The sequence below is a fragment of the Homo sapiens genome, chromosome 10 (genome assembly GCF_000001405.40).
Source record: "Homo sapiens chromosome 10, GRCh38.p14 Primary Assembly".
Lineage (NCBI taxonomy): Eukaryota > Metazoa > Chordata > Mammalia > Primates > Hominidae > Homo > Homo sapiens.
Window position 1 is genome coordinate 98,686,809 of NC_000010.11, and position 13,481 is coordinate 98,700,289.

Sequence of the window (13,481 nt, forward strand, 5' to 3'; positions counted from 1 at the left end):
GTTTCAAATTTATTGAGACTTGTTTTACAGTTGAGCATATGGTCCAACTTGGTTAATGTTCTATGTACACTTGAAAAAAATGTGGTTCAACTGCATTCTGTAAATGTGAATTGTCAGTCTGTTTGACAGTGTTATTAAAATCTGCTATATCCTTACTGTATTTATTTTAATCTAGTCCTGTTAATTACTGAAAGAAGTGTTTCTAAATTTCCAACTATGATAGTGGATTTTTCTATTTTTTTCTCCTTTTGTTGTTATTTTTTTTCTTTGTATATTTTGAATCTCTGTTCTTCAGTACTGTATTTGATTGCTGCTCTAAACAAATCATCACAAACAGTAGCTTAAAGCAATCCAAATTTATTCTCTTATAGTTCCACAGGTTAGAAATCAATATGGGTCTCACTGGCCTAAAATCAAAGTATGTGGAAGGCTATCTTTCTTTTGGAGATGCTAAGGGAAAATTCATATTCTTGCCTTTTCTGGCTTCTATGGGATACCTGCAATCATTGGCTCTTGTTCCTCTTCCTCTATCTTCAAATCCAGCAATTGTAGGTCAAGTCCTGCTAACACTGCATTTCTCCAACCTCCTCTCTATTAAAACTCCCTATGCCTCCTCTTTATGCCTTCCTCTTCTACTCTTGTGGTTATATTGGGTCCCTCTGGATATTCCAGAATAAGCTCCTTACTTTAAAGTCAGATGATTAGCAACTAATTCCATCTGCAACCTTAATTCCCCTTTGCCATATAATGTAACATATTTACAGGTTCTAGAGATTAGAATGCAGATATCTTTGGGGGAGGTTGGGGGAGGTTCATTATTCTGCCTATCACAGGACAATACATTTACGATTATTATGTCTTCCTGATGAATTGATCCTTGTATTGCTATGAATAATCTCCTTTTCTCTGGTAATCCTCCTTTTTTTGAAGCCTACTTTGCCTGAAATTAATATAGCCTCACCAGCTTTTTATGATAACTGCTTGCATGACATATTATTCTCATCCTTTTATTTTCAATCTGTGTCTTTATATTTAAAGTGTGTCTCTTGTAGGCAGAATATAATTGAGTCTTCTATAGCATCCAGTCTGACAATCTTTGCCTTTTAATTACACTGTTTAGGACATTTACACTTAGTATAATTATTGATATAATCATGGTTCAGTCTATCATTTTGCTATTTGATTTTTTTCCCATTTATTTTTTGTTCCTCTCTTTCTCCTTGCTTTTTTGAGGTTAATTCAGTATTTCTTATTTTAATCCTAATATGGCTTTTCGGCTATACTTTTTGTCATTATTTTTAAAGGGACTGCTGTAGTAATATAATTTTCACCCTTGCTTATCAGTCTTCTCAGAGTAAGTATTGTACTACTTATATAAAAGAATGTTGTAACACTATAATTCCATTTACTGACTCCTCTTTTTCTCATCCTTTGTGGTATTATTGCCATGTATTTTTACATCTACATATGTTATCAACCCCATAATACAATTTATATTTTTGCATGAATCATTATTTTGTAAATAAATTGGGGAAAAAGTAGCCTTTTATATTTAGCCACAAATGTACCATTTCCAATGCTCTTCATTATTTTTTGAGATCCAAGTTTCCTTCTGGTGCTACTGTCTTTCTGTCTGAAGAATTTCCTTTAGCATTTCTTTTTTTTTTTCTTTTTTTTTTTTTTTTGAGGCAGAATCTTGCTCTGTTGCCCAGGCTGGAGTGCAATGATACTATCTCGGCTAACTGCAACCTCCGCCTCTCGGGTTCAAGTGATTCTCCTGTCTCAGCCTCCTGAGTAGCTGGGATTACAGGTACTTGCCACCAGCCCGGCTGATATTTGGATTTTTTAGTAGAGACAGGGTTTCACCATGTTTATCAGGCTGGTCTTGAACTCCTGACCTCAGGTGATCCACCTGTCTCAGCCTCCCAAAGTGTTGGGATTACAGGCATGAGTCACCGTGCCTGGTCTCCTTTAGTATTTCTTGCGACACAGATCTACTGGCTTTCATTGATAAAAAAAAGTCTTTATTTAATTTTCATTTTTGAAGAATATTTTTGCTGGATATAGAATTCTGGCTTTACATTTTTTTTTTCTTTATCATTTTAAGAATATTGTTCTGTTGTATTCTGTCCTCCATTGTTTCTGATGTCAAATAAGTCATCCTTTTCCCTATATATGAAGTGTTATTTTTGTCTGAATGCTTTAAAGATTTTTACGTTATTTTTGTTCTCAGCAGTTTGAGTATAATGTGCCCAGATAAAATTTTCTTTGTATTTCTCCATCTTAGGGTTTACCTAGCTTCCTGAATCTGTAAATTAATATTTTCCACCAAAATTGGGAGAAGTTCAGCTTTGATTTAAAAAAAAAATTTCTGCCACATTTTCTTTTTCCTGTTCGTCTGAACTCTAATTGTGCATATGTTAGGCTATTTGGTATTAGCAATGAGGTCACTGACACTTTGTTCATTTTTTTCCGCTACTTTTTCCTTTCTCTTCTTTAAGTTGTATAATTTCTGTTGCTCAGTATGCAAGTTTACTCTTTCTTCTGTGGTTTCCAATCTCTTGACAAGCCCATCCAATGAGTTTCCATTTCAGATACTCTTCTTTTCACTTCAAGAATTCCATTTGGTTCTTTTTTATAGTTTCCATTTCACTGCTGATATTTCTCCAGGCTAATATTTCTCAATATGGATATTTTCCCCATAACTCTATGAATATATAATATGAGTTATAATAGCTTCTTTAAAATCCTTGTCAGCTAATTCTAATACCTGGGTCATCTCAAGGTTTCTATTTATTGCTTATCCTCTTCATCATGGTCATATTTTCCTGTTTCTTTGCATGTCTGGTAATTTTTTTTATTGTATGTAGCATAGTGTGGATGATATACTACAGAGATAGAAGAATGCTGATTTTGAATCTAGCAGGAAGTTAAATGAATGACTGATCTTCTTGTTCTTGTGAAGGCATCAGTTTATGATTTTTTTGGACAAGTCTGTTTTGGTTATATTTGAGTCTTAGAGCAAATCCTTAGTCTTGAGACAGACTTTACACCTAAGGCATAACTCTTTTAGATTTCACTGGATAAAAACAAGGTGTTTATCAAGTCCTTCTAAATTTGTGACATTCAAATTCCAACCTCTGTCTCTCATGTGACAAATGGCAGCTGAAATCTCTGTTCAACTTTTTCAGACTTCCAGCTGTTTCTTTTCACTAGGCTCCTTGGAATGTCTCATGAATATATACATTTCAGGGATCAGACAAAGATGTGAGGGAAGTTTATATGCATATTTTGTATTTTTACCTTGGAGTTCCTTCTTTTTGAGATTTCTACCCTCAATTTCCAGCCTTTGACTCCTTCTCCTTGACACTTCAAGCCAATATGAGCATGCATTTCTGTTTGAGTTCTAGTTACCTCCCGATGCATGAATTGTTAAATAACTACAGAGAAGGCCGGGTGTGGTGGCTCATGCCTGTAATCCCAGCACTTTGGGAGGCCAAGGCGGGTGGATCACGAGGTCAGGAGATCAAGACCATCCTGGCTAACATGGTGAAACCCCATCTCTAATAAACATGCAAAAAAATTAGCCTGGCGTGGTGGTGGGTACCTGTAGTCCCAGCTACTCGGGAGGCTGAGGCAGGAGAATGGCATGAACTGGGAGGTGGAGCTTGCAGTGAGCCAAGATCGTGCCATTGCACTCCAGCCTGGGTGACAGAGCGAGACTCCATCTCAAAATAAATAAATAAAAATAATAATAATAACTGCAGTGAAAAAGTCAAATAAAAGTAGATCTCATGCAGTACTGTTCACTTCTTTCAAAGGTTGAATACTTTCCTTTGGTTTCTGCCTTTTTTGGTCATAAGCCAGTGGTTTTTTTTTTAATACTTTATATTTTATCATTGCTCTCTATATAAGGGTTATTATGATACAAGCTACTCCACTATACTTGTAATTATACTTTCATCTTAATAACTTTTTCTGGGTTTTCTAAATGGGTTGGTGGGCAGGACCAATTATTAAGTCATATATTTTGGTCCACAAAATATAGCAAACCCAAGAATATGCTTCCAAATCAAAATAGTCAAACTACAGAGATCTGTTTATTCATGACTTCAGACTTAGAATTTGGGCTGTTCAAGCTCCAAGCTCAACATCCCAATACTGAATTGATTCTTCTGGCCATCCATATGTAGTGACAAATGACAAATTCTATGTTAGTCTCCCCCAGCCTTTTTTTACTAACAATGTCCCTCAATTTCTTTACATTATTAGGACATCTTCACCTCAGTATTTCTCAGGATTGAAGAAACGTGGCATTTGGCTTTAATTTTCATGAAGTCCTCCTGGCCAGAATTGCCTGGGATTCTTCCATGACTTTTCCAAGTCTTCACTGAAAACTATGGCTGGAAAGGATAAATTGTAGATTCCAGGTGCTATTTGTCCTCTAATGAATGCTGATCCTGGAGCCAAAAGAAATACAACCCCCTGCTTGCTTTTTAGGGTATTTTTGGAGTAGTTGCAAACAGTGATATTTATCTGGAGATATGGCCAATATTTTTTAAGTAGTCAATAAACAAAATGTATTTATTAAAAATGTATTTTTGCATCATAAAAATAATACTGTGCTCATTTCATTCCATTTGTGCCAGGAAGAGTACTTGAATAGAAAAGAAAAGCTTTCTCTTATCCCTCTCTGTCAGCCATAATAATTAAAGCCATACATTCTTAGCCAATAATATTTTTATGCTGATATCATTATCTTTCTCCACAAATCCTATAAATTCTTAAAGGTTCAGCCTTTATACTACGTTATCCAGATAGCCTTTTTGGTGAGGACACTGAACAGAGTTTCAGTAAAGGGACATTATCTTGTTATCAAAGCAGTAGTAGTTAAGACAATAACCCTTGGAGTGAGACAGACACAACTTTAAGTCCAACATTTTCCACTTTCTGTGTAATCTTTGGATTTTCTACAATTTCCTCTAAGTTAAAGTAAAATAGAGATAAAAATAGTCCCTAACTCATTTGGTTGTTGTGAGGATCAGATACAATAAGGCATATAAAGTTTAAGAACAGTTCCTGGTACATTGTTATTTTTATTGTCATTGTTATTTTTTCCACATAGTAAATGCCTAATAAACTATTGTCTAAATAAGTACTTGGTGAATTGAATAAGTGCCATTATGGTAGAAGAGAAAAACAAACAAATTACAAAAACAAGTCATAAGGAAAAAAGTAATTATAAATTATTATAAGTGCTATTAAAAAAGAACTAAGAAAAAGAATGAAATGGGGGACCTGTTTTTGGATAGAATCATCAGGGAAGGCCTCTCCAGGAAATGACATGTAAGGTGAGACTTAAAAGATGAAAAGGAGCTGGCCACACGAAGAGTAGGGAGAACAGCATTTCAGGCAGAAGGACTAGCATATACAGAGATCCAGAGGCAGATATGCACATGGACCTGAAAGAACTGAAAGACCACTAGTTAGCTGGGACAGAATAAGGGCAGAGTGGCACCAGATGAAATCAGAAAGTAGCAGAGGCCAAACACAAAAGGCCAGTGTGGAGAGTTTGGCTTTTGCTCCAAGTGCAAAGGAGAGACATTGTGGGTTTTCAAGCAAGGGAATGACAAGATCCTCTAGCTTACTCAATCCATGACTCACACAAACAAACTTAAGGCCGGGCGCGGTGGCTCACGCCTGTAATCCCAGCACTTTGGGAGGCCGAGGTGGGTGGATCACGAGGTCAGGAGATCAAGACCATCCTGGCTAACATGGTGAAACCCCGTCTCTACTAAAAAATACAAAAAATTAGCCGGGCATGGGGGCGGGCGCCTGTAGTCCCAGCTACTCGGGAGGCTGAGACAGGAGATTGGCGTGAACCCAGGAGGTGGAGCTTGCAGTGAGCCGAGATCGCGCCACTGCACTCCAGCCTGGGCGACAGAGCGAGACTCTGTCTCAAACAAACAAACAAACAAACAAACTGAAGAAGAATAAGAATTTCTGAAAATATTTGGAACTTGTTTTTTAGGGAACTTAGTATAAATGTAGACTGAAATATTTCCCATTATGATTGAAGTTATTGATTGCCAGCAAACAAAAACACTTTAGGTGGGGAACTTTTCTTCAGAGGGAGAAGCAATCTTAATAAAGATTTAATCCACTTCATTTTCTTTCACATCTGTAATGAATCCACAGTGGATAGTGTGACCCACTTCAAACAGAGGATAGACAGAAGGAGTACATACGCTAGGCAGGAAGGGTTAGAGTAATTGAGAAAGAGGGCCATTGCCAAGGCCTATGAGGGCCCTGAGTAAAAGCACAGTCTGAGTTGAGAGCACCACATTAGACAAGAGATGATTTGGAAGATATTGTGAAATAGATTTCTCAGAGAAAAGAAGAACAGGATTCCAGTATACAATTAGTGAGACATTGACTGTTAAGGGCTGGACCTTCTGGTACAAATGCCCTAAGGGAACTTATAGAATATTTAAATTTATTTATCAGATAATTGTATTTTTCATTATCCTGCAGTAACAGGTCTTTTCCATTGTAAGATTCTTCCTGCAATGTTGGAGTTTATTCCCTTTCTTGAAGCTGCTTCATCTTGATACTCTTTTTTTAAAAAAAAGCTGCTTCATTTTAGAGACTCACTTGGCAATAATTAAGACCACTGACATTAATATAACAAAATGTTTCTATTTTCCCATGATATATTGAGCAATTAAAATTATTGCCTGTCTTATACAAGGAAATTTATTCCCAAAGGAAAAGCCTATGGGAAAACAGTGGCATGCTCAGATCCCCATTACCTGTTCACTGATGACAGATTAATTTAAAAGGGTACATAATAGCTGAAATCTCCAAAATGCGTTAGTTGTTTTCTTAAATTTTTCTGAAAACAACCAAACAAAATTATAGTACTATGAGACAGTATGTGCCATAAAAACAACTTTGGAGTTACTTTCAAATTTTTTCCTGGAGGATGAAGGATAGCTTATTAAATGTCAGTTATGAACTTAGTGACAACTAATTATCTTTCATTTCACAGCAGCTGATAATAAGTAAGAGCAAAAATGGTGAATACCTACTGTTGCCAGGTAACTGCATCTACTGTACTTCCTGCCACCTTCATGAATCTGTAAGGAATAGAAAGAAAAAAGATATTACAACTTAGATTAAACCACATCCCCTAAATCAAAAGGAAATAAACTGAGACAGATTAGACCAATCCTTAAGCAGGTATGCTTTCTGAGAGGATCCTCCATAGCCACAATCATGGCCTAGACACAGCTATTGGAGGTCAAACTATACAGAAAGTGAAAGTAACCATACTTCCAGCTCCCCACACATCCCTCACCATCTGGAAATCAAAATCCCAATAAGGCATTCTATCTACATCTGTCTTCCCAAGCCCACGCCTGATGACTCCCACATCAATTTCCTCATAACCAAAACTTGTCTGTCCCATTTCCTATTCTCTAAGGACTCCAATCTCTGCTAGGAAACAAACAGTAATATTTCCCAAGGATGACAGCACAAAAGATGCCTTTGAAAAACTTCAGGCTTTCCTAGAGCGAGCATGGGAAAACCCAGTTTATTTATACAAGTAAAAAGTACCATCAAATATGCCCCAGTGAGAGGCTGCCACATCTGTCTCAGTGTAGAAAGTTGAGCAGCACAAAGAGAAATCTATCATCTACTTTTGGAGCAGCTAAATAGAGTACTGAGTGTTATCTGACAATCATGCTCAGCTCAAAAGGTAAACCAGACTTGGTTCCGTGCAGTTAAGCACACATCAAAGCCTTGCCAGCAGTTCCCCAGCTTCTGTGTTTCTGGAGGCTTCAGGAAAATCAATAGGCCAAGAAGATGCATCTGGGGGCCCAAAGATGACACAGGGTCTCTCATAAATTGCATGTTTGTGAATAACTCAATTACCTATCTCCTTCTCCCTATCCACATGTTCTGAGGCCATGTGCTATCATGGTTATAACTACTAGTTGAGGGAGTCATTACCCAGGCACAGGAAACCAAAAGGAGTATCTCAGCTCTTTAAGACATTCCTTTCAGTCCGGACACCCTGGTGGGGAACTTTTCTTCAGAGGGAGAAGCAATCTTTAATGGTACTTCTTAACTGAAGAATTCTTCCTCCAGGGAGAAGGATGGTGTTTTGTCTAGAAGGCCCTATCTCTACTTTACCCCAGCATAATCTTGCAAGGCAGATGCATGTTGCTCATGCTGTGTGGGTTGCTGTGTATTGCCTAAACAGAGGCTCTGATTTGCTGTGACAGCAGAAGAGAATTGAGTTTCTCTGGAGGAGTACATAAGAGAAACATAGGGCTGGATGCCAGGACTGTTGGTTAGCATTAAAGTGAAGTTTATAAAAGGAGAGGAAAAGAAGAAGGGGAAGGACAGGATGGGTCTGAGAAAGGGGGAAGAAAGAGAGAAGGAAGAGGAGGAGGAGGAGAAGGAGGACGAGGACGGAGGATGAGAAGGCCACAGAAGCCCTGGCTTGGCCTTTGGCTGAACGGTTTTGCCTTTCTTTCTCCAGTACGATTCAGCAGTCCTCAAGCAAGAAAGTAGAAAATGACACATGGGAATGATCGAGGAATAGAACTGGTTTGATGGGCAGGGCCAAAATGTCAACGTGGGCTGGAGGGAATGTAACATTTACTACGTACCTACTGAGTGCCAGCCATTCACATGTTATTTCTTATAATTCTTAAAAATGCCTTGCTTGGTAAGGTGGATATTGTCAGTTCCATTATATAGATTACCAGCTTCCCTATTGCCTAGAGAAGTACATCTCCTAACACTCCAAATAGCCAATTTTTGATGGAGTCATGCCACCCCCCCTAGCAGCAGTCATTGGGAAGCATGGCACAGATATCCTCTGCTTTTGAAGCCCATGGATTTCTCTTCCTCTTTATCTCATCTCCTTTCCCCAGCCCAGGACAATCTCTTTTGGGTTTGGGAGAGTAGCTCCAATCTCCTCACTATTTCTGGCCCTATGCCTCTAAAATTCCTCTTCTGGAATTCTAAAGCCAGAAAGACTCATGCAGTATTTGCCTTTTCCTCCTGTCACGTGCTATCCTGTCATAGGCACACAACCAGCTCTTAAATGAATAGAAGGAAAATTGAAAAATACAAGGAGAAAGAAAACAGATTAATATTCAAAATATTATCCCTGCCATCTATGCCACTCTAAGCAGGGAAGATCTGATAATAATCTTAGAAGTAGGATGGCCCAAGAATAAAGAGGAAGAGATGAAATTTTGTACCTCCTTCTCAGATATTCCAAAAATTAAAAAACCTAGACAATCTTAGACACAAATGTCATTTCAAAGAAAGAAATGTAAAAACAAATGTTTACATGGAATTTACTTCTCCAAAATAATTTCTAAAATCTCTGAAATAGAAATATTTTATGTAGGGACAGGGCCAAGATAGCCAACTAGAAGCAGAGATGATCAGAGGCTCCCATAAAAAAAAAAAAAAAAAAAAAAAAAACCATAATAGCGAGCCAATCCTGCACCAACAACCAAGGTATTCAGTTTCTGTCATCAGAACTGACTAGGCAGCTGGCGTGACCCACAGAGAGGAAGGAAGAGCAGTGTGGTGCTGCAGCCCACCTGAGAGCCACACAGGGCAGGGAAGCCCCGATCCTCAGTCAGGAAAGGCAGTCAGTGAGTGTGCTACCCAGCCTGGGAAAATGTGCTTTTTCCATGGAACTGTGTAAACCCATGGATTGGAAGATCCCATTTATAAGCCCACACCACTGGGGCGAGGGTCCCAACCATGGAATGCGTAGATTCTCAACAGCCACTAAGCTAGAGTCTGCTTAAGCCTGCTGACCTCCCAGGAGGAGGGGTGACCAGCACCACAGCTGTGGCTCCCTGCTGTCTAAGCCTTTGAGCTCCTTAGGGGAGGGGCGACAGCCAACTCTGGGACCCATAGCTGCCTAACACACTAAGCTCCCAGGGTGGGGGAAGGCCGGCAGCCATCTCTACAACTCCAGGCTGTGCTTTTCCCCTGCTGGAGCCATGAATAGGGCCTGAACTGAACCCCCAGTGAACCGCAGCAGCCCTATAGAACAGGGACCTGACCACTGCAAGAAAAACAAACAAACAGAAGCAAAAACAACAGCATCAACAAAAAAATGTCCCACAAAAACCCCATCCAAGGGTCAGCAGCCTCAAAGATTGATAGTAGACAAACTCATGAAGATGAGAAAGAAGCAGTGAAAAAAAAACACTGGAAACCCAAAAGGCCAGAGTGCCTCTTCTCCTCTAAATGATCACAGTGCCTCTCCAGCAAGGGCACAGAACTGGACAGAGGATGCGATGGATGAATTGACAGAAGTAGGCTTCATTCAGAAGGTGGGTAACAACAAACTCCGCTGAGCTCAAGGAGCATGTTCTAACCCAGTGCAAAGAAGCTAAGAATCTTGATTAAAGGGTACAGGAGCTGCTAACTACCATAAGCAGTTTCGAGAGGAACATAAATAACTTGAAGGAGCTGAAAAACACAGCATGAGAACGTTGTGAAGTATACACAAGCATCAACAGCCAAATCAACCAAGTGGAAGAAAGAATATCAGAGTTTGAAGACCATCTTGCTGAAATAAGGCATGCAGACAAGAATAGAGAAAAAAGAATGAAAAGGAATGAACAAACCCTCTGGGAAATATGGGACTATGTAAAAAGACCAAACATATGACTGACTGGAGTACCTGAAAGAGACGGGGAAAATGAAACCAAGTTGGAAAACACACTTCAGGATATTATCCAGAAAAACTTCCTCAACCTAGCAAGATAGGCCAACATTCAAATTCAGGAAATACAGAGAACCGCACTAAGATAATCTACAAGAAGATCAACCCCAAGACACGTAATGATCAGATTCCTCAAGGTCAAAATGAAGGAAAAAATGTTAAGGGCAGCCAGAGAGAAAGGCCAGGTCACCTACAAAGGGACTACAATCAGACTAACAGTGGTCCTCTCAGCAGAAACCCTGCAAGCCAGAAGAGAGTGGGGGCCAATATTCAACATTCTTAAACCAACAAAGATCAAAAGAGACAAAGAAGGCCATTACATAATGGTAAAGGGATCAATTCAACAAGAAGAGCTAACTATCCTAAATATATATGCACCCAATACAGGAGCACCCAGATTCATAAAGCAAGTCCTGAGTGACCTACAAAGAGACTTAGACTCCCACACAATAATAATGGGAGACTTTAACACCCCACTGTCAACATTAGACAGATCAACGAGACAGAAAGTTAACAAGGATACCCAGGAATTGAACTCAGCTCTGCACCAAGCAGACCTAATAGACATCTACAGAACTCTCCACCCCAAATCAACAGAATATACATTTTTTTCAGCACCACACCACACCTATTCCAAAATTGACCACATAGTTGGAAGTAAAGCTCTCCTCAGCAAATGTAAAAGATCAGAAATTATAACAAACTGTCTCTCAGACCACAGTGCAATCAAACTAGAACTCAGGATTAAGAAACTCACTCAAAACCACTCAATTACATGGAAACTGAACAACCTGCTCCTGAATGACTACTGGGTACATAACGAAATGAAGGCAGAAATAAAGATGTTCTTTGAAACCAACGAGAACAAAGACACAACATACCAGAATCTCTGGGACACATTCAAAGCAGTGTGAAGAGGGAAATTTATAGCACTAAATGCCCACAAGAGAAAGCGGGAAAGATCCAAAATTGACACCCTAACATCCCAATTAAAAGAACTAGAAAAGCAAGAGCAAACACATTCAAAAGCTAGCAGAAGGCAAGAAATAACTAAAATCAGAGCAGAACTGAAGGAAATAGAGACACAAAAAACCCTTCAAAAAATTAATGAATCCAGGAGCTGGTTTTCTGAAAGGATCAACAAAACTGATAGACTGCTAGCAAGACTAATAAAGAAGAAAAGAGAGAAGAATCAAATAGATGCAATAAAAAATGATAAAGGGGATATCACCACCAATCCCACAGAAATACAAACTACCATCAGAGACTACTACAAACACCTCTACACAAATAAACTAGAAAATCTAGAAGAAATGGATAAATTCCTCCACACATACACCCTCCCAAGACTAAACCAGGAAGAAGTTGACTCTCTGAATAGACCAATAACAGGCTCTGAAATTGTGGCAATAATCAATAGCTTACCAAACAAAAAGAGTCCAGGACCAGATGGATTCACAGCCGAATTCTACCAGAGGTACAAGGAGGAACTGGTACCATTCCTTCTGAAACTATTCCAATCAATAGAAAAAGAGGGAATCCTCCCTAACTCATTTTATGAGGCCAGCATCATCCTGATACCAAAGCCTGGCAGAGACACAACAAAAAAAGAGAATTTTAGACCAATATCCTTGATGAACATCGATGTAAAAATCCTCAATAAAATACTGGCAAACCGAATCCAGCAGCACATCAAAAAGCTTATCCACCATAATCAAGTGGGCTTCATCCCTGGGATGCAAGGCTGGTTCAATATACGCAAATCAATAAATGTAATCCAGCATATAAACAGAACCAAAGACAAAAACCACATGATTTTCTCAATAGATGCAGAAAAGGCCTTTGACAAAATTCAACAACCCTTCATGCTAAAAACTCTCAATAAATTAGGTATTGATGGGACATATCTCAAAATAATAAGAGCTATCTATGACAAACCCACAGCCAATATCATACTGAATGGGCAAAAACTGGAAGCATTCCCTTTGAAAACTGGCACAAGACAGAGATGCCCTCTCTCACCACTCCTATTCAACATAGTGTTGGAAGTTCTGGCCAGGGCAATTAGGCAGGAGAAGGAAATAAAGGGTATTCAATTAGGAAAAGGGGAAGTCAAATTGTCCCTGTTTGCAGATGACATGATTGTATATCTAGAAAATCCCGTTGTCTCAGCCCAAAATCTCCTTAAGCTGATAAGCAACTTCAGCAAAGTCTCAGGATACAAAATCAATGTACAAAAATCACAAGCATTCTTATACACCAATAACAGACAAACAGAGAGCCAAATCATCAGTGAACTCCCATTCACAATTGCTTCAAAGAGAATAAAATACCTAGGAATCCAACTTACAAGGGATGTGAAGGACCTCTTCAAGGAGAACTACAAACCACTGCTCAGTGAAATAAAAGAGGATGCAAACGAATGGAAGAACATTCCATGCTCATGGGTAGGAAGAATCGATATCATGAAAATGGCCATACTGCCCAAGGTAATTTATAGATTCAATGCCATCCCCATCAAGCTACCAATGACTTTCTTCACAGAATTGGAAAAAAACTACTTTAAAGTTCATATGGAACCAAAAAAGAGCCTGCATCACCAAGTCAATCCTAAGCCAAAAGAATAAAGCTGGAGGCATCATGCTACCTGACTTCAAACTATACTACAAGGCTACAGTAACCAAAACAGCATGGTACTGGTACCAAA

At 38.9% G+C, this 13,481-nt stretch overlaps 1 protein-coding gene across 14 annotated transcripts in view; it reads right to left on the reverse strand.

Annotated features, from left to right (window-relative positions):
• HPSE2 (heparanase 2 (inactive)) overlaps nt 1-13,481 on the reverse strand; it is an 858,875-nt gene that overhangs the window by 229,732 nt on the left and 615,662 nt on the right. For 13 of the 14 annotated variants that reach the window (XM_047425614.1, NM_001166245.1, XM_011540030.2 and 10 more), the window contains one exon: nt 7,092-7,139. In XM_047425614.1, coding sequence (XP_047281570.1) covers nt 7,092-7,139 — 48 coding nt within the window. Of the gene's footprint in view, nt 1-7,087; nt 7,140-13,481 lie in introns of all 14 variants that reach the window. The other variant, XM_047425615.1, reaches the window with a different exon arrangement.